At 40.7% G+C, this 22,777-nt stretch overlaps 1 protein-coding gene across 6 annotated transcripts in view, besides 2 other annotated features; it reads right to left on the reverse strand.

Annotated features, from left to right (window-relative positions):
- Nucleotides 1-22,777, reverse strand: part of OPHN1 (oligophrenin 1) — a 391,498-nt gene that overhangs the window by 300,729 nt on the left and 67,992 nt on the right. The gene's annotated exons all lie outside the window — the stretch shown is intronic.
- Nucleotides 12,274-12,774: an enhancer, noted in NCBI's record as "H3K4me1 hESC enhancer chrX:67575188-67575688 (GRCh37/hg19 assembly coordinates)". NCBI's record gives its function as "activates a minimal SCP1, AML or CMV promoter by ChIP-STARR-seq in primed H9 embryonic stem cells {active_cell/tissue: H9 hESC(primed)}" and the evidence as "EXISTENCE:reporter gene assay evidence [ECO:0000049][PMID:30033119]".
- Nucleotides 12,775-13,275: an enhancer, noted in NCBI's record as "H3K4me1 hESC enhancer chrX:67575689-67576189 (GRCh37/hg19 assembly coordinates)". NCBI's record gives its function as "activates a minimal SCP1, AML or CMV promoter by ChIP-STARR-seq in primed H9 embryonic stem cells {active_cell/tissue: H9 hESC(primed)}" and the evidence as "EXISTENCE:reporter gene assay evidence [ECO:0000049][PMID:30033119]".

The raw sequence follows: 22,777 nt of genomic DNA on the forward strand, positions 1-22,777 counted from the left end.
GATCAGCCTAGGCCAACATGGCAAAACCCCATCTCCACTAAAAATACAAAAATTAGCTAGGCATGGTGGCAGGTGCCTGTAATCCCAGCTACTCGGGAGGCTGAAGCAGGAGAATCGCTTGAACCCAGGAGGTGGAGGTTACAGTGAGTCGAGATCATGCCATTGCATTCCAGCCTGGGAGACAAGAGAGAAGCTCTGTCTCAAAAAAAAAAAGCGGGGGGGGAGGGGCGCTGGGCATGGTGGCTCACAGCTGTAATCCCAGCACTTTGGGAGGCTGAGGCGGGCAGATCACTTGAGGTCAGGAGTTCGAGATGAGCCCGGCCAACATGGTGAAACACCGTCTCTACTAAAAATACAAAAATTAGCCAGACATGGTCGCGTGCCTAGGTGACAAAAGCAAAACTCTGTCAAACGAAAAAAAAATAGGCAAATCAAATCTATAAAGACAGAAAATAAGTGAGTGATTGCCCATGGTTGTGGGTTTGAAGGAAATAATAGAAACCAATGACATGTATGGTATGTGAATTATATCTCATTAAAACTGTCATATAAGAATTGATGTGGGTTGCAATGAGGATAAGAATACCTAAAAAGTCTCCTTAAGGGGATGATAATGAAAAAAAAAAGGTTGTGAAACACTGACTCAAACGATGGACATGGAAGTCCTTCGTATACAGAAAAGCAATATTTGCCATGTCTTGAATAGCTCTTGTGACTCAGAAATGAATAGCATAGTTATAACCTCACTGGATCAATAAACACACTTAAGTAATTCCCATCCTGAAATAAAAAGAACCCTCCCTTGATCCCTCAACCCAATGCAACTACTGATCTCTCTCACTTTTTCACCTTTAAGACTGGCGTATAGCCTTGCTACTCAAAGTGTGTTCCCCAGATCTACTGAATCAGGCTTCATTTTAATACATCCTAGGTGATTCACATACACATTTAAGTGTCAAAAGCACCATTATAAAGATCCTATCAATTTAGTAAGTCTTAGCAATGATGTAAGAATGTGGGAACTATCCAAAGGTGTTGTCAACCCTTTGGCCAGGTCAACCCCATTTTTGGAAAGGTAAAATGTGTAGTTTAACTTGCTTGTCACTGAACCTGTTTAAATGTTATTCTAAGAAAGGAAAGATACAACATCTATGAAAACCCCATCCCTTTCATCGACCAACCAATGGGTATTTTCTCACTGGCACATTCAAGAGAAGCCCCAACCAATATATATGCAAAATTTATGTAAGAAATAATAGCTGGGCATGGTGGCTCACATCTGTAATCCCAGCACTTTGGGAAGCCAAGGCAGGCAGACCAATTGAGGTCAGGAGTTCAAGACCAGCCTGGCCGACATGGTGAAACCCCACCTTTACAAAAATTACAAAAATTAGCCAGACATGGAGTTGGGTGCCTGTAATCCCAGCTACTCAGGAGGCTGAGGCAGGAGAATCACTTGAACCCAGGAGGCAGAGGTTGTACCGAGCCGAGATTGTGCCACTGCACTCCAGCCTGGGGGACACTGGGCAACGTGGCTCACACCTGTAATCCCAGCACTTTGGGAAGTCAAGGAGGGAGGAGCGCTTGAACCCAGGAGTTCAAGATCAGCCTGGGCAACACAGTGAGACACCCCCTACAAAAAATAAAAATTAAAAAAGATAATAAAAACATAAAATGCTAATTAGACAAGAACACATTAAAATAGCAGACAGCAGAAAGGTTTTATTTTTTAATAAAATGCTATGCTTATAGGACTGCAAGAAAACACATATAGTTTTAAAATTACTGCTGGTACTATAAATTATTATAACCTATGACATTCATCTATTCGATTAATATTTCTTCAGTACTTTCTTTGCACCAAGTACTGTGTTAGGTGCCAGAGACAACATAGGGACCCAGATAGACAACATCCCTGCCCTCCTGGAATTTACAATCCAAAGAGGAGAAAATCATAATACCTATTGTCATAATGTGCTAAATTTACTACATAAGTTTTTCTCATTTAAACTTCAAACAACTCTGTGGAGTACAAATTGTAATTTCCATTTTTTCAAATAAAGAAAGAAGCACTCGAAGTAGAAGACACTTGAGAGAGATCACACAGCTGGCAAATGTTACAAACAGGACTTTAAACAAGGTCTGTCTCATTCCAATACTTCTGCTTTCACACATTGTGTAAACTTCCTCTCAAAAGAATGGAGTTCAGCTTACCAAAGCCACCAAAATATCTATACCCTTTGACCAATAACCCTCCATAGGAATGTATATCTTAAAGAAATAATTTGAAAGGAGATTAAAAACCTATATCTACAAAAATGCACACAGCATTACTCAAAATACCAAAACAAAAAATGATAATGTTCTCAATGTCCAAAAATAGAGATTACTTAATTCATAGCAAAATCTCAGTGGAGGTGGGTTTTACAAAATGAGATTTGTTTTAAAAACCTCACAATTGGTAAATTTTGAATAAAGTCTGTAGATTAGAAAATAGTCTTGTATCAGCCGGGGAGCTCATGCCTGTAATCCCAGCACTTTGGGAGGCTGAGATGGGCAAATCACTTGAACCCAGGAGTTCCAGACCAGCCTGGGAAACACGGCAAAACCCCTTCTCTACCAAAAATACAAAAATTATCCAGGTGTGGTGGCACACGCCTGTAGTCCCAGATACAATTCAAATATGTATACAATTCAAGAAGAACTGTGCTTATGCATAAAAATATTCTCCAGTATTTCTACAAGAATGTTATAATAGTATATAAATGTCCTTTTTGGCTGGGTTAATCGGCTCACGCCTATAATCCCAACACTTTGGGAGGCTGAGGCGGGTCCTTTGAGTCCAGGAGTTTGAGACCACCCTGGGCAACACGGTGAAACCCCGTCTCTACAAAAAAATATGAAAAATTAGCCAGGCATGGTAGTGCTTGCCTGTAGTCCCAGCTACTAGGGGGCTGAGGTGGGAAGATAGCTTGAGCTTGGGAGGTTGAGGCTGCAGTGGGCCGTGATCGCACCACTGCACTCCAGCCTGGGCAACAGAAAGGGACTCTGTCTCAAATAAATAAATAAATAAACAAATGTCATTTTAAAAGAAACCACAGAGACTAACTATCAACACAGGTACAAATTGTATGGTCTTGAATACACATACTGTTATATTTGGAGGCATCTCAGATTAAATAAAGCAAGAGTGGAGTCCTCTGAGCACTGAATGAAAACACAGTTTTCAGAACTGATGAACTGAAGAGAGAAGTGACCAAGAAGACAAACTTCTATTAATAGGAGGCTGTATCAAATAACAATAGAGTCCAAGGATAAATCAACCAGAAGCAAAACAACTGGGAAATCCAAGAGAAAACAAAGGCTTCTGCATAAATGAAAAGCACAGCATGTCCATCAGTCTGTAGTATACAACAATCTAATTAGGCAATAAGGAGAGAATGGAGACCTCTCTTGGAATACAGCAAATAGCTGAGAGGAGTGACTGCTTCAGCAGAAAGCTGAAAAAATGACCTTAGAAATAAGATATCAGCACAAGAAAATCCATGAAATGAACAAATGTAATCTCTGATTTTACATAACAGGAAACTGAGGCTGGGAGAGGGAAAAGGTCCCTATTAATTGTCCACAATAAGTTTCCAGCAGGACCAGTATTTAATCCCAGGACAGACCTCTTTCCATCAACTCTAGCTGCTTTCTGCAAAGTGTGTTTGCTGAGAATATTAGTTTGCACACGGGGAACCCACAGCCCCCAAATCATTATACTCCAAATTCTGTTCATCGTAAAAAGCTGACAAAGTAAGCTCAATTTCTCTGCGAGAATTCTTTTGGGAAAACAATCTAATTTGTTTACCTACCTTGTGACAATCCTTCATGTGTATATACAACACAGAACTAGAGTGTACGAAGCAAATGTTATTTTTGTGGACCCCTTCCCATTCACAAATATGACACATGCTATAATATGTCAGAGGAAAAGACACATATCCCAAGACTTTCTTCTTCACCTACCTTGTGGCCCTGCCTAATATATTCTCCAGTGTCTTTTAGTATTGGAGGCCTGAGGCTCCTGCTAGTACCTTCCCCACCATTTACAGCTATGTGACCTTGGGCCCTCTCAGGACCTCATTTCCTTCATCAGTAAAATGGGGCTGCACTACAGAACTTCAAAGGCTCCTCTCAGTTCTAACATCTTATGATTCTGTGAATCCTGAATTAACATTGCCAGTGATCAAATTTTAACACCCATATATTTATATCTTTAGACAGGGATTTGCCCTGTCACCCAGGCTGGAGTGCAGTAGCACAATCTCAGATCACTGCAGTATCAAATCTCATGGGCTCAAGCTATCCTCCAATCTCAGCCTCCTGAGTAGCTGTGACCATAGGTGCACGCCACCATGCCCAGCTAATTTTTGTATTTTTTGTAGAGATGAGGTCTCTCTATGTTGCTCAGGCTGGTTTCAAACTCTCAGGCTCAAGCAATCGTCCTGCCTCAGCCTCCCAAAAAGGTGGAATTACAGGCATGAGCCACTGTGCCAAGCTAACACTCACATATTGATTTCTATATTTCCTGATTAAAAAAAAATGAGGAACTCTCCTCAGAGAACTCAGCTGGCTCTCATGGCCTAAACTGAAAATCTAGACATTAGAAGATATGAATATTATTCCTAGCTCTGCTAAGAAGCTCTCTGGGTGAGCCTGGGAGAAGTTCCAAAGCAAGGAACCATTCTATCCTGGGTCAGTTGGTCAGTCAGGCTAATGTGTGGGGAACATTAATTTTGCAAAGCACTTTGGTAAGAGAGAAAAGACACATGGATTTTGGAGACAAAAGTTATCTTCAACAACCAAATAACATTTTAACAGAGCAACCTATCAAGGAATATAGGTTAGCTTAGGAATCAGTTAGACCTGGACTCTAGTCCTGATGCTGCCAATTACCAGCTATAAGACCTCAGTAAGAACAAAAGGCTAGGAATAGGGAGGGCCCTACTACACACTTACCACCACCTATGTGTGGGGCACATGAGTTATCTGAAAATGACAAGGGAGGACTAGCCTCCCCAAGGTCACTTACAGCTTAAATATCCATATTTAATTTCCATCAGTGTTAGAGGATCAGGTAGAGAAGTAGATGGGTTCAATCATGCAAAACTCATTGTGACTATTGGTTTGATAACAGGTTTTGATGAAAAACAAGGTTAGTGAAGGTGGAGGACATAGCCAACAAAGAGAAACACATCTAATTAGGTTTTTGAGGAGGGAACTAGCAAGTGTGCAAGTGGAAGATGGGGAGGAAAGAGAATATAACTATATGAACACAGCCAGAGCAAGAAGACCATCAGGGGATCATGAAACATGAGTGGAAAGAAGTAATAAAGAGAGCAATTTATCAACCTTTTACCAAAACAATCTCAACCATCTACAAAATATATGATATACTTAGAAAAGACTAGAATATGTCAAAAAAAAAAAGTGGTTGTTACTGCGGCTGTGCATGATTGCTACTTTCTTATTTATATTCTTCTGTATTTTTCAAATTTCCTTAGGGAGCATATTTGCTATTATAGTATGAAAACGAATGAACCTCATGCAAAATGTTTACTCAGCACCTATTTGGTGACAAGCATTGTGATAGGCACTAGGGCTACAAAGACGAACAACAGAGTAATTGTTTTGGCATAGGAAAGGCTCCACAGAAGAGTGACAGATATTTGGCTATGACTTCAAGGATAAGGAGATGTTCACACAGGTGAGAATGGAGGAGGAAATTCCAGGCAGAGGAAACAGCAGATAAATAGACAAGGAATCCAAAAGGAAATTAGAAATATTCTGAGAACCCAATGCATTTGGCAAGTAGGAGGTGTGGAGGGGAGAAATAGAAGATAAAACTGGAGAAGTGGTACAAATAGAAGACAAACTGTGAATAGCTTGAATGCCATCTAAAGAAGTTTAAATTTCCTAAGACCTGATGCTGGATAGATTAATTAACATTAATCTATTGTGCATTTCCAGCAAAAGAAACTATCATCAGAGGGAACAGGCAACCTACAGAATGGGAGACAAATTTTGCAATCTATCCATCTGACAAAGGGCTAATATCCAGAATCTACAAAGAACCTAAACAAATTAACAAGAAAAAAAAACAAACAACCCCATCAAAAAATGGGCAAAGGATATGAACAGACACTTCTCAAAAGAAGACATTTATGCAGCCAACAGACATATGAAAAAATGCTCATCATCACTGGTCATTAGAGAAACGCAAATCAAAACCACAATGAGATACCATCTCACACCAGTTAGAATGGTGATCATTAAAAAGTCAGGAAATAACAGATGCTGGAGAGGTTGTGGAAAAATAGGAATGCTTTTACACTGTTGGTGGGAGTGTAAATTAGTCCAACCATCGTGGAAGTCAGTGTGGTGATTCCTCAGGGATCTAGAACTAGAAATACCATTTGACCCAGCAATCCCATTACTGGGTATATACCCAAAGGATTATAAATCATTCTACGATAAAGACACATGCACACGTATGTTTATTGTGCCACTATTCACAATAGCAAAGACTTGGAACCAACCCAGATGTCCATCAATGATAGACTGGATGAAGAAAATGTGGCACATATACACCATGGAATCCTATGCAGCCATAAAAAAAGGATGAGTTCATGTCCTTTGCAGGGATATGGATGAAGCTGGAAACCATCATTCTCAGCAAACTATCACAAGATCAGAAAACCAAACACTGCATGTTCTCACTCATAAGTGGGAGTTAAACAATGAGAACACATGGACACAAGGAGGGGAACATCACACACTCGGGCCTGTCAGGGGGTGGGGGGCTAGGGGAGGGATAACATTAGGAGAAATACCTAATGTAGGTGACGGGTTGAGGAGTGCAGCAAACCACCATGGCATGCGTATACCTATGTAACAAAACTGCACGTTCTGCACATGTAATCCAGAACCTAAAGTATAATTTTTAAAAAATACAAAAAAATCTATTGTGCATTTCAAAACAGCTAGGAGACAACAATTCAAATGTTCCTAGCATTAAGAAAGTTAAATATGTAAGGTGATGGATACCTTAATTACACTGATTTGATTATATGAAAGTATCAAATTATCATATGTACTTTGAAAATATGTACATCTATTATGTATCAACAAAATAAATAATTTTTAATAAGTTTAATTTTCAAACTATGAACTATTTTAACAACCAGTGAATAACCAAATCATATTTACATAGTAGGAAGAGCCTGCCTTTCTTTCTTTTTCTCTTCCTCTTTTGCTTGCTTGCTTTTTCTTTCTTTTCTTTCTTTCCTTTTTCTTTCTCTCTCCCCTCCCTCCCTCTCTCCCTCCCTCTCTCCCTCCCTTCCTTCCTTCCTTCCTCCCTCCCTCCCTTCCTCCCTTCCTCCTTTCCTTCCTTCCTCCCTCCCTCCCTCCCTTCCTCCCTTCCTCCCTTCTTTCCGACAGAGACTTGCTCTATCACCTAGGCTAGAGTGCTCACTGCAGCATTGAACTCCTGGACTCAAGACATCCTCCCCCACTCAGCCTCCCAAGTAGATGGGACTACAGGCACATGCCACCACACTTGGGTAATTTTTAAATTTTTTATAGAGACAGGGTCTCACTTGTTGCCCAGGCTGATCTCAAACTCCTGGACTTAAGCAGTCTGCCTACCTTGGCCTACCAAGTGTTGGGATTACAGTTGTGGGCCATTGCACCAGGTCAAAAAAAGCCTTTAAAATGCCAAGTGTTACTAGGGCATAGAGCTGCCTCTGCCATATTTTCATACCCCTTAGACCACACAGGGTCTTTTAGTGACTTTATTTTTCTGAAACTGTTTTTTGTTTTGTTTTGTTTGAGATGAGCCTCACTCTGTTGCCCAGGCTGGAGTGCAATGGCATGATCTCAGCTCACTGCAACTTCCGCCTCCCAGGTTCAAGCGATTCTCCTGCCTCAGCCTCCTGAGTAGCTGGGATTACAGGCGAGCACCACCACGCCCAGCTAATTTTTGTATTTTTAGTAGAGACGGGGTTTCACTATGTTGGTCAGGCTGGTCTCGAACTCCTGGCCTCGTGATCCACCCACCTCGGCCTCCCAAAGTGCTGGGATTACAGGCGTGAGCCACCACACCTGGCCTATTTTTCTGAAATTCTTTTGATGTCCCCTCAACCAGATTTCACCCACCTGAAAATGTCAGGGGAGGAGTAAGAAAAAAGCAAAGAAGTCAGTAACACTGTTTCCTCTTACCTCACCACTGACTGTAAACTCAGGAGTACTCTTGAACAAGAGTCACAAAATTTCGATTTATCTGTATATGATACTATATATCCCAGAAAATAAGGAAGGCCCCAGTTTAAAATATTCCATCTCATTGTTACCATAAGCACATAAGTACACTGCTATTAATAATGACCATATATTCCAAATTTGGTTCACTAAACATGGTCACCAAAGCACAGCTGGTTGTGAATTACCCTGTCTCTCTCATCCAGCCGTGGGACACCTGTAGGCTGGCACTGTGGTTGCTTCATCTCTCCATCCCCTGGGTCTAGTACAGGACCTCCCAGCAGCCACCAAAGAAATGTTTGGTTTTCTGGTTTTTTGTTGTTGTTGTTGTTGTTTTTGAGACAGAGTCTTGCTCTGTCGCCCAGGCGGGAGTGCAGTGCCGCGATCTCGGCTCACTGCAAGCTCCGCCTCCCGGGTTCACACCATTCTCCTGCCACAGCCTCCCGAGTAGCTGGGATTACAGGTGCCTGCCACCACGCCTGGCTAATTTTTTTTTCTTTTTTTTTTTTTTTTTTTTTGAGACGGAGTCTTGCTCTGTCGCCCAGGCTGGAGTGCAGTGGCGCGATCTCGGCTCACTGCAAGCTCCACCTCCCGGGTTCACGCCATTCTCCTGCCTCAGCCTCCCAAGTAGCTGGGACTACAGTTGCCCGCCACCGCGCCCGGCTAATTTATTTTTGTATTTTTAGTACAGACGGGGTTTCACCGTGTTAGCCAGGATGATCTCCTGACCTCGTGATCTGCCCGCCTCAGCCTCTGAAAGTGCTGGGATTACAGACGTGAGCCGCCACGCCCAGCCAGAAATGTTTGTTAAATCCAACTCCGCACCCAGAAGGTAAAACCTTCTTAAGGGGCTTAAACTTTGGAAAATTTTCCAAAGAATATTAATATTATTCCTATAAAATTTTCCCTGTTCAGAAGATTTGGTAGACAGTCTCCAGAAAAATCCTTTAGAGGCTTTTATTACAATTAATTAACAAAAGAAATGAAAAAAAAAAAACACCCAGCCCTCCTCAAAACACATCACTATTTGATGGAAACTAGATTATCAGCCGGACAGTGCTTTGATCCCAAAGCCCAATGATTTGCTATGCATGCATTTCTTGTAAGCTTTCACCTTAATGTAAAGAAATAGTATCACTGGAGCTACAATTATAACATATTTATTGGCAGAAAGAGGAGAATGAGGCCTAGATGTTTCCCCCAGCTATGGGAAAACATTCACTTATTAAAATAAACACCAGGCTTAGAATGGAAAGCAACTTAGGTTTCATTGGGAGACTTTGATGAAACTAAAGCACAAAATCCTTCATAAAGTCCTTCCAATGTCAGAACTAGAAAGGGTTTTACTTTCTCTAAAATTTAGACAACTATTTTTAAAACTAGTTATAGGAAAGAGCAACGAAGCAGGAGGAACATCTCAATGCTTTATGGTAAGAAGGGAAAAAAGTCATCCACAGAGGGAAAGAAAAGTTTCTTCAGAAGAAAGGTGTATCAGGCCCGGTGCAGTGGCTTACGCCTGTAATCCTAACACTATGGGAGGCTGAGGCGAGTGGATTGCTGAGCCCAGGAGTTCGAGACCAGCCTGGCCAACATAGGAAGATCCTATCTCTACAAAAATTCAAAAAATTAGCCAGGCGTGGTGGCTTGCACCTGTGGTCCCAGTTACTCAGGAGGTTGAGGTGGGAGGATCACTTCAGCTCAGGAAGCCGAGGCTGCAGTGAGCCATGAACGCACGTACCCCTGGACTCCAGCCTTGGAGACAGGGAGAGACCCTGTCTCAAACAAAAAAAAAGAAGGTGCATTAAGAAAAATCAGAACAACAGGGAGATTAAGTGCAGGTTCTTATAAATACTTTTATTGAGACATACTTCATATACCATAAAATTCACCTATTTAAAGTGTAAAAAGTAGGCCGGGCATGGTGGCTCATGCCTGTAATCCCAGCACTTTGGTAGGCTGAGGCGAGTAGATCACCTGAGGTCAGGAGTTTGAGACCAGCCTGGCCAACATGGTGAAACCCCGTCTCTACAGGAAAAAAAAAAAAAAAAAAAAAAAGCCATGGTGGCGGGTGCCTGTAATCCCAGCTATTCAGGAGGCTGAAGCAGGAGAATCGCTTGAACCCGGGAGGAGGAGGTTGCAATGAGCCAAGGTCACACCACTGCATTCCAGCCTGGGCAACAAAAGCAAAACTCCACCTTAAATAAATAAATAAATAAATAACGTGTAAAAAGTAAATTTATGCTGTTTTTGTTTCCTACTTAAAATGACAAATGCTTTTGTAGAATATTAAAGCATAATAAGATCAAATAATCAAGAAAATGATAATACCTTATAATTATTTCTCATATTAACTTATTTGTAAGATTCCATTCTACTTTCACAATTTCCATTGCTCAATTTCTTCATTTCAGCAACCATGACTGTTTTAATATACACTCAAAGGAGCTACACCACAAGGCATAAATTAGTCTTTTTTTCTTCCTAAAATATAATATTGTAAAAAGTTAGTACTAAAACAAAATATACAGGCAGACCTTTCAATATTATTGACTTAACATCCTAGACCATAGTGATGAAGACTCAGCAAAACAGATGCTGAAATCGAAAAAGTTAGAGTACATTATTTCAAAGAATAAGGTTCCTATTCACAGATACTCATTTTAAATCCACTATTTATACAAACTCAGTATATACATAGTTTAATAAAAGAGCATTAAAATGATATTAGCCATTGATAATGTCTCTGGACAAGGCATTGTTGAGCAGTGTTTGAGAAGTTATGATAAGGCCAGGCTCAGTGGCTCACACCTATGATCCCTGCACTTTAGGAGGCCGAGGCTGGCAGATTACTTGAGGTCAGGAGTTTGAGACCAGCCTGGCCAACATGGTGATACCCCATCTCTACTAAAAATACAAAAATTAGCTGGGCGTGGTTGCAGACACCTGTAATCCCAGCTACTCGGGAGACCGAGACCGAGTTCAAGAATTGCTTGAACCCAGGAGGCAGAGATTGCAGTGAGCCGAGATCACACCACCACTGCACTCCAGCCTGGGCGACAGAGTAAGACTCCATCTCAAAAAAAAAAAAAAAAAAAAAAAAGTCGGGCGCGGTGGCTCATGCCTGTAATCCCAGCACTTTGGGAGGCCAAGGTGGGTAGATCACCTGCGGTCAGGAGTTTGAGACCAGCCTGGCCAACATGGTGAAACCCCGACTCTACTAAAAAAAAAAATAGCTGGGCGTGGTGGCACACACCTGTAGTCCCAGCTACTTGGGAGGCTGAGACAGGAGAATCACTTGAACCCAGGAGGCGGAGGTTGCAGTGAGCCAAGGTCACGCCACTGCACTCCAGCATGGGTGATAGCGAGAGACTCCGTCTCAAAAAAAAAAAAAAAACTAAAAGAAACGTCATGATGAGATAGAAAGAACACTGAGTTTGTAGTTCAAATTCTGGCCATACCTCCCACTACCTCTGTGATCATAAGGCTCTGCTCATCCCTAATTATTTCCTATCTGCAGTCAAATATTCTTTCTGATTTTATGAGTACATATATCTTAGGTAAATATTCTGGGGCCTGGAATGGACATCCAGATCCTGTCTTCATAAACCCAACTGTTGGGCCCAGGAAGGTGCCTATAACTCAGTGGCATCAGACTGGAGACTCTGAGTGACTAGGCTAGTTTCCCCTACATATTAGTCAGCCTGTATTTATTTAAGCTCTGCAGAATTCCTTCATTTGTACTCAAGAGTTTTACATTTTACATGACTGTGACTAGAGAAGCTTTCTCTTGAAATGCAGAGACAAAGGAAAATCTTTCTAGTTGTGTCAGAAAACTTAATAACTGCATCTAGAATCTGCAAGAAAACGAATTCATTTTAAGAAAGTAGGAAAGGAAATTGCATAGGACAGAGGCAGGGATAAAATACAGAAGTACATAAAACATTGCATCTGTCCATTGTGGAAGATTAATGTCTGCTGTGGAACGTAGACCAATAAAACCTGAAGGTAGTCCTGACATTTGATCATTTGAGTTTCTGGCTGATACATGTAGTTAATCTCTCTCTCTCCAGTTCATATGCTGATATAGGCTATCCAGGGCAGGAAGAAAGGCTCAGATAGTTTCAAGATGAAATATTTTCCTATTTCAAGAAGACAGAAAAGAACTCCTTTCTTTACTTAGCTTTGAGGCTACCGTGCAAGATCCATATTCTTTCTGGGTCATTTCAAAAGTCATTCTTTATCTCAGAGTAGTTGTTTACACAAAGAGATTCAAAATACAGCAATTGCTGGTGCTAATTTTAAATTGCATATGCTTCCAAGAAAGACAATCCTCAATGTTAGGTTTGTTTACCTATTCACAGGATAAAAATAGCGAAGTGTGGCCAGGTGCTGACTCACACCTGTAATCCCAGCGCTTTGGGAGGCCGAGGTGGGCGGAACACCTGAGGTCAGAAGTTCAAGACCAGCCTGGTCAACATGACAAAACCCCATCTCTACCAAAAAATAAATAAATAAAAGAATTAGCTGGGTGTGGGTGGTGGCACATGCCTATAATCCCAGCTACTTGGGAGGCTGAAGCAGGAGAACTGCTTGAACCCGGGTGGTGGAGGTTGCAGTGGGCCGAGATTGTGCCACTGCACTCTAGCCTGGGTGACAGAGCAAGACTTCTTCCAAAAAAAAAAAAAATCGCCAAATGTTACAATTTTATGTGTCATTTTGGCTGGGGCACGGTGCCCAAATATGTGGTCAAACGTTATTCTGGATGTTTCTGTAGGGGTGTTTTTGGATGAGATTTATGTTTATATCAGTGGACTTTGAGTAAAACAGATTGCTCTCGTGATGTGGGTAGGCCTTAACCAATCAGTTGAAGGCTTAAATAGAACAAAAGGCTGATTTACCCCCAAGCAAGAGGGGATTCTCCAGCAGACTGCCTTTGGACTCAAAGTGCAACTCCTTCCTGAGTCTTCAGCCTGCCTGCCTCTCCCATTAGGTATTTGGACTTGCCAAGCCTCCACAATCACATGAGCCAATTCCTTAAAATATTTTTTTTTTTTGAGACAGGGTCTCACTCTGTTTCCCAGGCTGGAGTGTAGTGGTATGATCTTGGCTCACTGCAACCTCCACCTCCTGGGTTCAAGCGATTCTCCTGCCTTGGCCTCCCGAGGAGCTGGGATTATAGGTGCCTGCCACCACGCCTGGCTAATTTTTATATTTTTAGTAGAGGTGGGGTTTTGCCATGTTGCCCAGGCTGGTGTCAAACTCCTGACCTCAAGTGATCCACTTGCCTTGGTCTCCCAAAATGCTGGGATTATAGGCATGAGCCACTGCGCCAGGCCCCTCTTTCTGTATATATATATAGATACATATCCTATTGGTTCTAAGTCTCTGGAGAGCCCTTCTGAATACACTGAGGTCTGACCTCCAAATGCAGAGATTTTTTAAAACAGTCTCCACAATAGGGATGAACCTGGTAAACATTATGCTAAATCAAAGAAGCCAGTCACGAAAAACCTCGTGTTGTATGATCCCATTTATATAAAATGTCCAGAATAGGCAAATCTACAGACACAGAAAGATTTGTGGTTGCCTAGTGCTAGCAGGAATGGGGGAAAATAAGGAGTTACTGTTATTTGGTATGAGGCTTCTTTTTAGGGTGAAGAAAATGCTCTAAAATTGATTGTGGTGATGGTCGCAAAACTCTGCGAATATACTAAAACTCAGTGAATTGTACAATTTAAGTAGGTGAATTATTTGCTCTGTGAATGATACCTAAATCAGCCAGGATATATATATTCTCACAGCTACTTCTAGGTTTTCCGCAGCATTTCTCTAGCTCTCAGCAAAACAGAGTGTATCTGTGTTTTGCTTTTGCTTTTGTTTTGTTTTTTATTATACTTTAAGTTCTAGGGTACATGTGCACAACGTGCAGGTTTGTTACATATGTATACATGTGCCATGTTGGTGTGCTGCACCCATTAACTTGTCATTTAGCATTAGGTATATCTCCTGATGCTATCCCTCCCCCCTGCCCCCACCCCACAACAGGCCCCTGTGTGTGATGTTCCCCTTCCTGTGTCCATGTGTTCTCATTGTTCAATTCCCACCTATGAGTGAGAACATGCGGCGTTTGGTTTTTTGTCCTTGCGATAGTTTGCTGAGAATGATGGTTTCCAGCTTCATCCATGTCCCTACAAAGGACATGAACTCATCATTTTTTATGGCTGCATAGTATTCCATGGTGTATATGTGCCACATTTTCTTAATCCAGTCTATCATTGTTGGACATGTGGGTTGGTTCCAAGTCTTTGCTATTGTGAATAGTGCTGCAATAAACATATGTGTGCATATGTCTTTATAGCAGCATGATTTATAATCCTTTGGATATATACCCAGTAATGGGATTGCTGGGTCAAATGGTATTTCTAGTTCTAGATCCCTGAGGAATCGCCACACTGACTTCCACAAGCTTTTGTTAAGATGCCTGTTGATTTTGTTTGACTGTTTTTATTGAGATAGATAATATTTAAAGGCCAAAATAGGCCAGAAAAGTTGGTTACTCCATGAAAACATACTATTTAGGGACCCAAGCAATAAGTAGCAAGTACTAATTACATTAAGAAATAGTCCATTAGGGCCAGGCACAGTGGCTCACGCGTATAATCCCAGCATTTTAGGAGGCCGAGAGGGACAGATCAATTGAGGCCAGCAGTTCAAGACCAGCTTGGCCAACATAGTGAAACCCCATCTCTACTAAAAAAAAAAAAATAATAAAATAAAATAAAATAAAATAAAAAATTAGCCAGGCATGGTGCTGCACACCTGTAGTCACAACTACTCGAGAGGCTGAGGCACGAGAATCGCTTGAACCCAGGATGGGGAGGTTGCAGTGAGTCGAGATTACACCACTGCACTCCAGCCTGAACAATGGAGTGAGACTCCATTTCAAAAAGTAATAATAATAATAATGAAGAAAGAAAGAAAATAAATAGTCAATTTGGCTTATAAGTCATTGTACACAGGGACTGTCTACCTTGGGAGGTCATGTGCTCGTTTTCCTAGATATCTTTTCAAACAGGATTTATAACAAAGGGAATACTGAATTTTGAAGTTTGTCTGACAAGAGGCAGAGCACAGAACTAAATAACCTCTTGAGGTCCATTTGATTCTTTCCAAATGATATAAAGAGGTCAAAGCTGTTAAGAAATCAACTAGAACAACATAGTAATTCCCAAGTCACTGTTGTCTACCATACTAATACTAAGCTCTTTGACTAATGCCTTTAGAGGATTCTTACTTTGTCAAATATCTAGTTTTGTGTTAGGCACTTTTACATCCATAATCTTATTTATGACTTCATACCATCAAAACTCAAGTTCTTGGCCACTTTATTTGCTGGGTGACCTATTTTGTGGTTTACTTTGTAGGTCAGGAATTATATTTTTCAGATAAGAAAGCTAAGGGTTGGAGAAATTGAGTAACTTGTCCCAAATCACACGACTGTTAAGCAGTGGAAATGTGGTTCAAATCCAAGACTACCACTGCCAAAAGCCCCCAATGCTAGTGTTCTGACTACCAGTTCACAAATGTCATCATTTTCTATTCTCTCAAAATGGCAGCCCTGGTCTACAGTTTGGAAAAAGTTTTCTCATCTGGAAGAGCCAGTGTGGCTAGGATTCCCCTTTTTAACCCAAGGTTTTTGTTTTTACTTATCTCTGCTTTTTAAAAAATTTAATTCACAATCACCCTCTCTCTTGAGCAACATTTACCTCCTATTATGTATGATGAACTATTTTTCATACCTCTCAATATTTTTTACCCTCTCATATGATTATAGCTGTAATTTTTAATATTTTTTAATAGTGCACACATTATTATTCTGCAGAAAAATTTGGGGTACATATGGATTTGTAAATTATTTACAATAACTACAAGCCTCCAAGCATCTCATACTCATGGGTTTTACAGCTTTTATGAACATATGTGGCTAGAAGATGAAACTAATGGCTTTCTGTTTTTGTGAGGCAGCACAAAAGATCATAGAAGGAAAATATAAGAGACAATTGAAAGGAAATTTCCCTGGGGCGTGAGCCTCCTGGAACAGTTTATAGAGAGACCCAAGAAATAACATATCCATCCCATCCCATCCCATCCACATTTAGTAGTGATGTCTCACCACCAGCTAAGAATTACCTAGTACAGGCCGGGTGCAGTGACTCAAGCCTGTAATCCCAGCACTTTGGGAGATCAAGGTGGGCGGATCACGAGGTCAGGAGATTGAGACCATCCTGGCTAACACGGTGAAACCCCGTCTCTACTAAAAATACAAAAAATTAGCCAGGCATGGTGGCGGGCACCTGTAGTCCCAGCTACTCGGGAGGTTGAGGCAGGAGAATGGCGTGAACCCGGGAGGCGGAGCTTGCAGTGAACGGAGATCGTGCCACTGCACTCCAGCCTGGGCGACAGAGCGAGACTCCGTCTCAAAAAAAAAAAAAAAAAAAAAAAAAAAGAATTGCCTAGTACAGCATGAGAGCCAGAATGCCTAAGTTCAAATCACCAGGCTGAAATGTAATTGCTCTGTGGCATTAGGCAAGTTACTTAACCCCTCTGTTCCTCAGCTTCCTCCTTTGTAAAATGGTCATCCTAACAGCACCAACCTTATAAGTTTTCCTGTGAGGATTAAATAAGTTAATATGTGTAAAGTGCTTAGAACAGTGTCTGCAATTACATATACAGGAAAATATAGTTGGGTAGCACTACGTAAATCAGCTCAACTCTTAAAATGAGTGGCTCGAGGTGCTTTGTTTTGTTTTGTCTTTTTTAGAGATGAGATCTCACTCTGTCTCCCAAGTTGAAGTGTAGTGTCACGATCATAGCTCACTGCAGTCTCAAACTCCTGCGTTCAAGTGATCCTCCCACCTCAGCCTCCAAGTAGGTAGGACTACAGTGACGCGGCACCAAACCCAGCTAATTTTGAAAATTTTGTAGAAATAGAGTCTCATTATGTTGCCCAGGCTGGTCTTGAACTCCCCGTGGTGCCTCACACCTAGGCTTAAGCAGTCCTCCCACCTCAACCTCACAAAGTGCTGGGATTACAGGCATAAGCCACCATGTCCAGCTGTTGATAAAATAGATAACCAGCACAGTAGCTCACAACTATAATCCCAGAACTCTGAGAGGCTGAGGTGGGAGGATCGCTTGAGCTCAGGAGTTCAAGACCAGCATGGGTAACATAGTGAGACCCTGTCTCTACCAAAAATACAAAAAATCAGCCAGGCACATGCCGGTAGTCCCACCCACTCGGAAGGCTGAGGTAGGAGGATGTCTTGAGCCCGGGAGGTGGGGGTTGCAGTGAGTGAAGATCATGCCACTGCACTCTAGCCTGGGTGACAGAGCAAGACCCTGGCTCCACCCAAAAACAAACAAACAAACAAAAACCACCAAAAACAGAAACAAAAAACAGATGACCATTTGCTTAAAATAATGATAGGGACAATGTATTCAGTGATGACAGTGCATGGATAGCTGAAATGAATGACAACAATATCATAAGGGACTCGAGAAAGAAATTGGTAATCTTCTGCTATAAGATACTAACACTACCTGTGAAATAGTGTAGCGTTATTTGAAAATAGATTTGGCTCTTTCTAAATGCACATTGCAAACTCTAGGGCAAACACCAAAAAAAGTTTTAAAAGAAGGGCTGGTCTGAGGGTAGTGAGTTATCTCAACTGATTGTTCACAGTCAGTTACAAATCAAACTTCTTGTTCTACTCTTTGCCCCCTTCTCACTACTGCACTTGAGTAGTCTTAAAAATAAAAATAAGGCCAGGCACAGTGGCTCACACCTGTAATCCCAGCATTTTGGGAGGCCAAGGTGGGCGGATCACAAGGTAATGAGTTCGAGACCAGCTTGGCCAATATGGTGGAACCCTATCTCTACTAAAAATACAAAAATTAGCTGGGTGTGGTGGTGGGCGCCTGTAGTCCCAGCTACTCGGGAGGCTGAAACAGGAGAATCCCTTGAACTTGGGAGGCAGAGGTTGCAGTGAGCTGAGATTGTACCACTGCACTCTAGCCTGGGTGACAGAACAAGACTCCATCTGAAAAAAAAAATAAAAATAAAAAATAAAAAAAATATATATGTATATATGTAAAATAAAATAAAAAGATTTAAAAGAAGTATAATTAATATGCTGAGAGAAAATGGAACCCTACAAATGCTCAATTAAAATTACAGAAGCCTGAATACTATTTTGTTGTGTATGCATACCACGTTTTCTTTACCTATTGATAGATACTCGAGCTGATTACAAATATTGGCTATTGTGAATGATGCTGCAATGAACACAGGAGTGCAGACATCCCTTCAACAACCAATTTCATTTCCTTTGGATAGTTCTATTTTTAATTTTTTGAAGAAATATCATACTGTATTCAATAATGGCCATACTAATTAACATTCCCACAAAGTGTACACACTTATCCACATCTTCACCAACACTTATCTCTTTCATCTTTTTGATAATAGTGATTATAACAGGTAGGAGGTGGTATATGGTTGTGATTTCAATTTGCCTTTCCCTGATGACTACTAATGTTGAGCATTTTTTTCATATACCTGTTGGCCATTTATATGTCTTCTTTTGAGAAATGTCTTTTCAGGTCCTTTGTCTATTTTTAAATCAGGTTATTCATTTCCTTACTATTCAGTTGCCTGAGTTCCTTACATATTTTGGATATTAAACTCTTATCATATGTATGGTTTGCAAATATTTTATCCCATTTCATAAGTTGTCTCCTCATTCTGTTGATTGTGTTCTTGCTATGGAAATCCTGACATTTGCAACACAGGGATGAACATGGAGGACCTTATGCTAGTGAAATAAGCCAGGCACAGGAAGTGAAAACTGCATGATCTACTTATATGTGGAATCCTAAAAAGTCTAACTCATAAAAGTAGAGAGTAGAATGATAGTTAGCAGGGGGATGAGAAGAGATTGGGAAGATGCTGGTCAAAGGACACAAAATTTCATATTGACAGGAGGAATGAGTTCAAGAGATCCATTGTCAAGCATGTGATTATAGATAATAACAATGTCTTGTATACATGAAAATTGCAAATAAAGTAGATTTTAAATATTCTCACCATAAAATAAGTACGTGAGGTAACGAGTATGTTAATTAGCTTGATTTAGCCGTTCTACGTGTATACATAGATGAAAGCATCATGAAGTACATCCAGGAGCTCAAAGGGAAAGAGGAAGGGATAACTAGGTGAGGCACGGGGTTGGGGGTGGGGTTTACAGCACTGAAACTATTCTGTATGATACTGTAATGGTGGATACATGTCACTACGCATTTGTCAAAAGTCTTAGCATGTAATTCAAAGTGTGAATTCTAATGTAAACTATGGACTTTAATAATAATGTAGCAATCAATATTGGTTCATCAATTGTAACAAATGTCTCACACTAATGCAAGATGTTAATAGGGGAAACCGGAGGAGGGGGCTTGGGAGGTATATGAGGACTCTGTACTTTCTCCTCAATTTTTCTGTGAAACTGAAACTGCTTTGAAAAATAGAATCTTGGCTGGGTGCGGTGGCTCACATCTGAAATCCCAGCATTTTGGGATGCCAAGGCGGGTGGATCACTTGAGGTCAAGAGTTCAAGACCAGCCTGGCCAACGTGGTAAAAACCCATCTCTACTAAAAATACAAAAATTAGCCAGGCACGGTGGCGCGTGCCTGTAGTCCAAGCTAGTCAGGTGGCTGAGGCATGAGGATCGCTTGAACTGAGAGGCAGAGGTTACAGTGAGCTGAGATCACACCACTGCACTCCAGCCTGGGCAATAGAGCAAGACTCCATCTCAAAGACAAATTTTTTTAAAAAAAATTTAAATAATAAAAAAATTAAAAATAGGATCTATTAACTTTTTTTTCTTTTTTAGTGAGACAGAGTTTCACTCTTGTCACCCAAGCTGGAGTGCAATGGCACGATCTCAGCTCACTGCAACTTCTGCCTCCCAGGTTCAAGCAATTCTCCTGCCTCAGTCTCCCAAGTATCTGGGATTACAGGCACGTGCCACCACACCCAGCTATGTTTTTTTTTATTTTAGTAGAGATGGGGTTTTACCATGTTGGCCAGGCTGGTCTCAAACTCCTGACCTCAGATGAGCTGCCTGACTCAGCTTCCTAAATTGCTGGGATTACAGGCATGAGCCACCATGCCTGGCTGTTAACTTTTTTAAAAAAGACAGTTTGAAACAATTGGGAGAGTATAGGTATAGACTGGCTAGTGGATGATAGTAAGAAATTACTGACAATTTGTATTGCATATGATGATGTCACAGTGGTTATATATACTAAAACAGTCCGTATCAGAAATGCATACTGAAATATATATGGGTATAATGACATACCTGGGATTTGCTTTAAAATACTCCAGAAGAAAAATACCATGTGTGTTTTGGGTGGGGGAATTGAGGGTACCTGAAATGAGATTGGAAAAAAAGTTGGGTGATGAATCTAGAGGGTTCATTATATTAAAACTCTCTGGTTTTGTGTATGTTTGAAATTTTCCATACTAATGTTTTTAAAATATGTGTGAACTGAAATACAAGAAGAGCCCAAAGAATTCTTTGAGCACTAAGGTTCCTTGAACATGCCCAGTTCTTATTCAATGCATATGCTGTACGAGAGACTGGATTTTCTCAATGATTAATAAGAACGCATTCTTCATCTATCTCTAACATCTACCCACAAGAACAGCCTGTCTTGGATTATTCTCTAGGACCTCTTGACATGTCAACAGTGACTTTAGGCACTGAGTGCTTTTCATAACTTCCTGTTCCTTCAGCCCAACAGCAAGTGTCTTTGATGGGACACTTCTAGACTGTAGTATCCCTGTGATTTTAAACTTCCTTTGGAATAATTATTTTTGCCTATTTGTGTGTTAGCCAGAGAAGTAACATTTTTCCCCCAGAAATCTATTGCAATCTGTTTCATCTTTGTACTTTATACTTAATATAGTCGAAAACTGGGTTTAAGAGTGATGACAACATTTATTCCCAACAACTTTTCCAATTTCTACAGCCTTAACACCAACTCTAAATAATAACGATAGACTGCTAAAAGATACATAACTGTCTTAAGAAAAGGAGATCATTCTGTTTCCATCAGGATGTAATTCAGTTTCTTTAATAGAGTAATTGATGAAATAAGAACAGTTGAGAGAAATTCTGAGTTAAGGCTAAAAGAAAATGCTAGACAGCCATTAAGAGATCAGAGTTCAGTTTTCTACATGTGGCTATTTAAATTTCAACTCATTAAAATTTAATAAAATTAAAAATATATTTCATCAATCACACTAGGCAAATTTTAAGTGCTCAGTAGCTATATTGCAAAGAACACACAGACATTTCCATAATCACAGAAAGTTCTATTGGACTGCACCATGCTAGAGCACAGAGGTTAACAGCATGACCTTGGAGTCACAACAAATTTCTACTACATGCTCCTCAATCACCTTGCCCTGTGATCCTTGATGATTTACCTAACTTCTCTAATCCTCACTTTCCTCATCTGTGCAATGGGAATAACAACAGTATCTACTTTACAGGGTGAGTGTGAAAGCCTGTGAGATAATATGGACAATAGTAAACTTCAGCTATGATAACTGCTCCATGTGCTAGGCCTGTGCAATACAAAGAAGAAATAAACATGGCCACTGTCTTCAAATGAACATAGACGCTAATAGAGGAGAAATGCATTTAAACAAATAAATTATACCATGCGGTTCCAGATATAGGAATAATGTTACTCTTCAAAAGAGTCATTCAACAAGGCCTTACAAAAGAAATGACATTTGAGCAGAGACTTAAAGGATATGTAGGAGTTTGCTAGGTACAAAAAGGAAAAAAAAAAAATTGGAATTTGAGAGAAACCACGTGAGCAAGGTATAGGAGATGAAAGAGCCTACGTAGCATATTGAAGAAGCTGGAACAAGACCAGTGCAGCAAATGGGTAGGGGCATGTTTAACATAAGGCAGCCACTGAAGAAAACATCAACAAGAGCAAAAGTCTCAGAATGTACCAGCTGACACGAGGCAATTACCATTTTGTTCATTTTCCACAAACAGCTGTGCTCTCCTCCTCACTCAGCAGTAGGAATGTCTCTCGAGAGAATTACAGCATCCAGCTGCTACCTTTCCCTCAGCCACTAACAAATCCGCCACAGAGAACAATGTTGATCTAATTCTACACACTCATAAACATAAACAAAGTTTGAGCTGAGCAGGGAGAATGTCACTGAGCCCACTTCTCTCAAAGGAGTAGAAAAGAGAACCAACACTGAGTGGAAATCTACCATGTGCCAGGCAGTATTCTTAGAAGTGATGCCATTTCACACTCTGAAACAACTCTATGGAGTAGCAATTATTCCCTTTTTTTTTTTTTTGGAGATTTCTAACACTG

The sequence above is a fragment of the Homo sapiens genome, chromosome X (assembly GCF_000001405.40).
Source record: "Homo sapiens chromosome X, GRCh38.p14 Primary Assembly".
NCBI classification, from domain to species: Eukaryota; Metazoa; Chordata; class Mammalia; order Primates; family Hominidae; genus Homo; species Homo sapiens.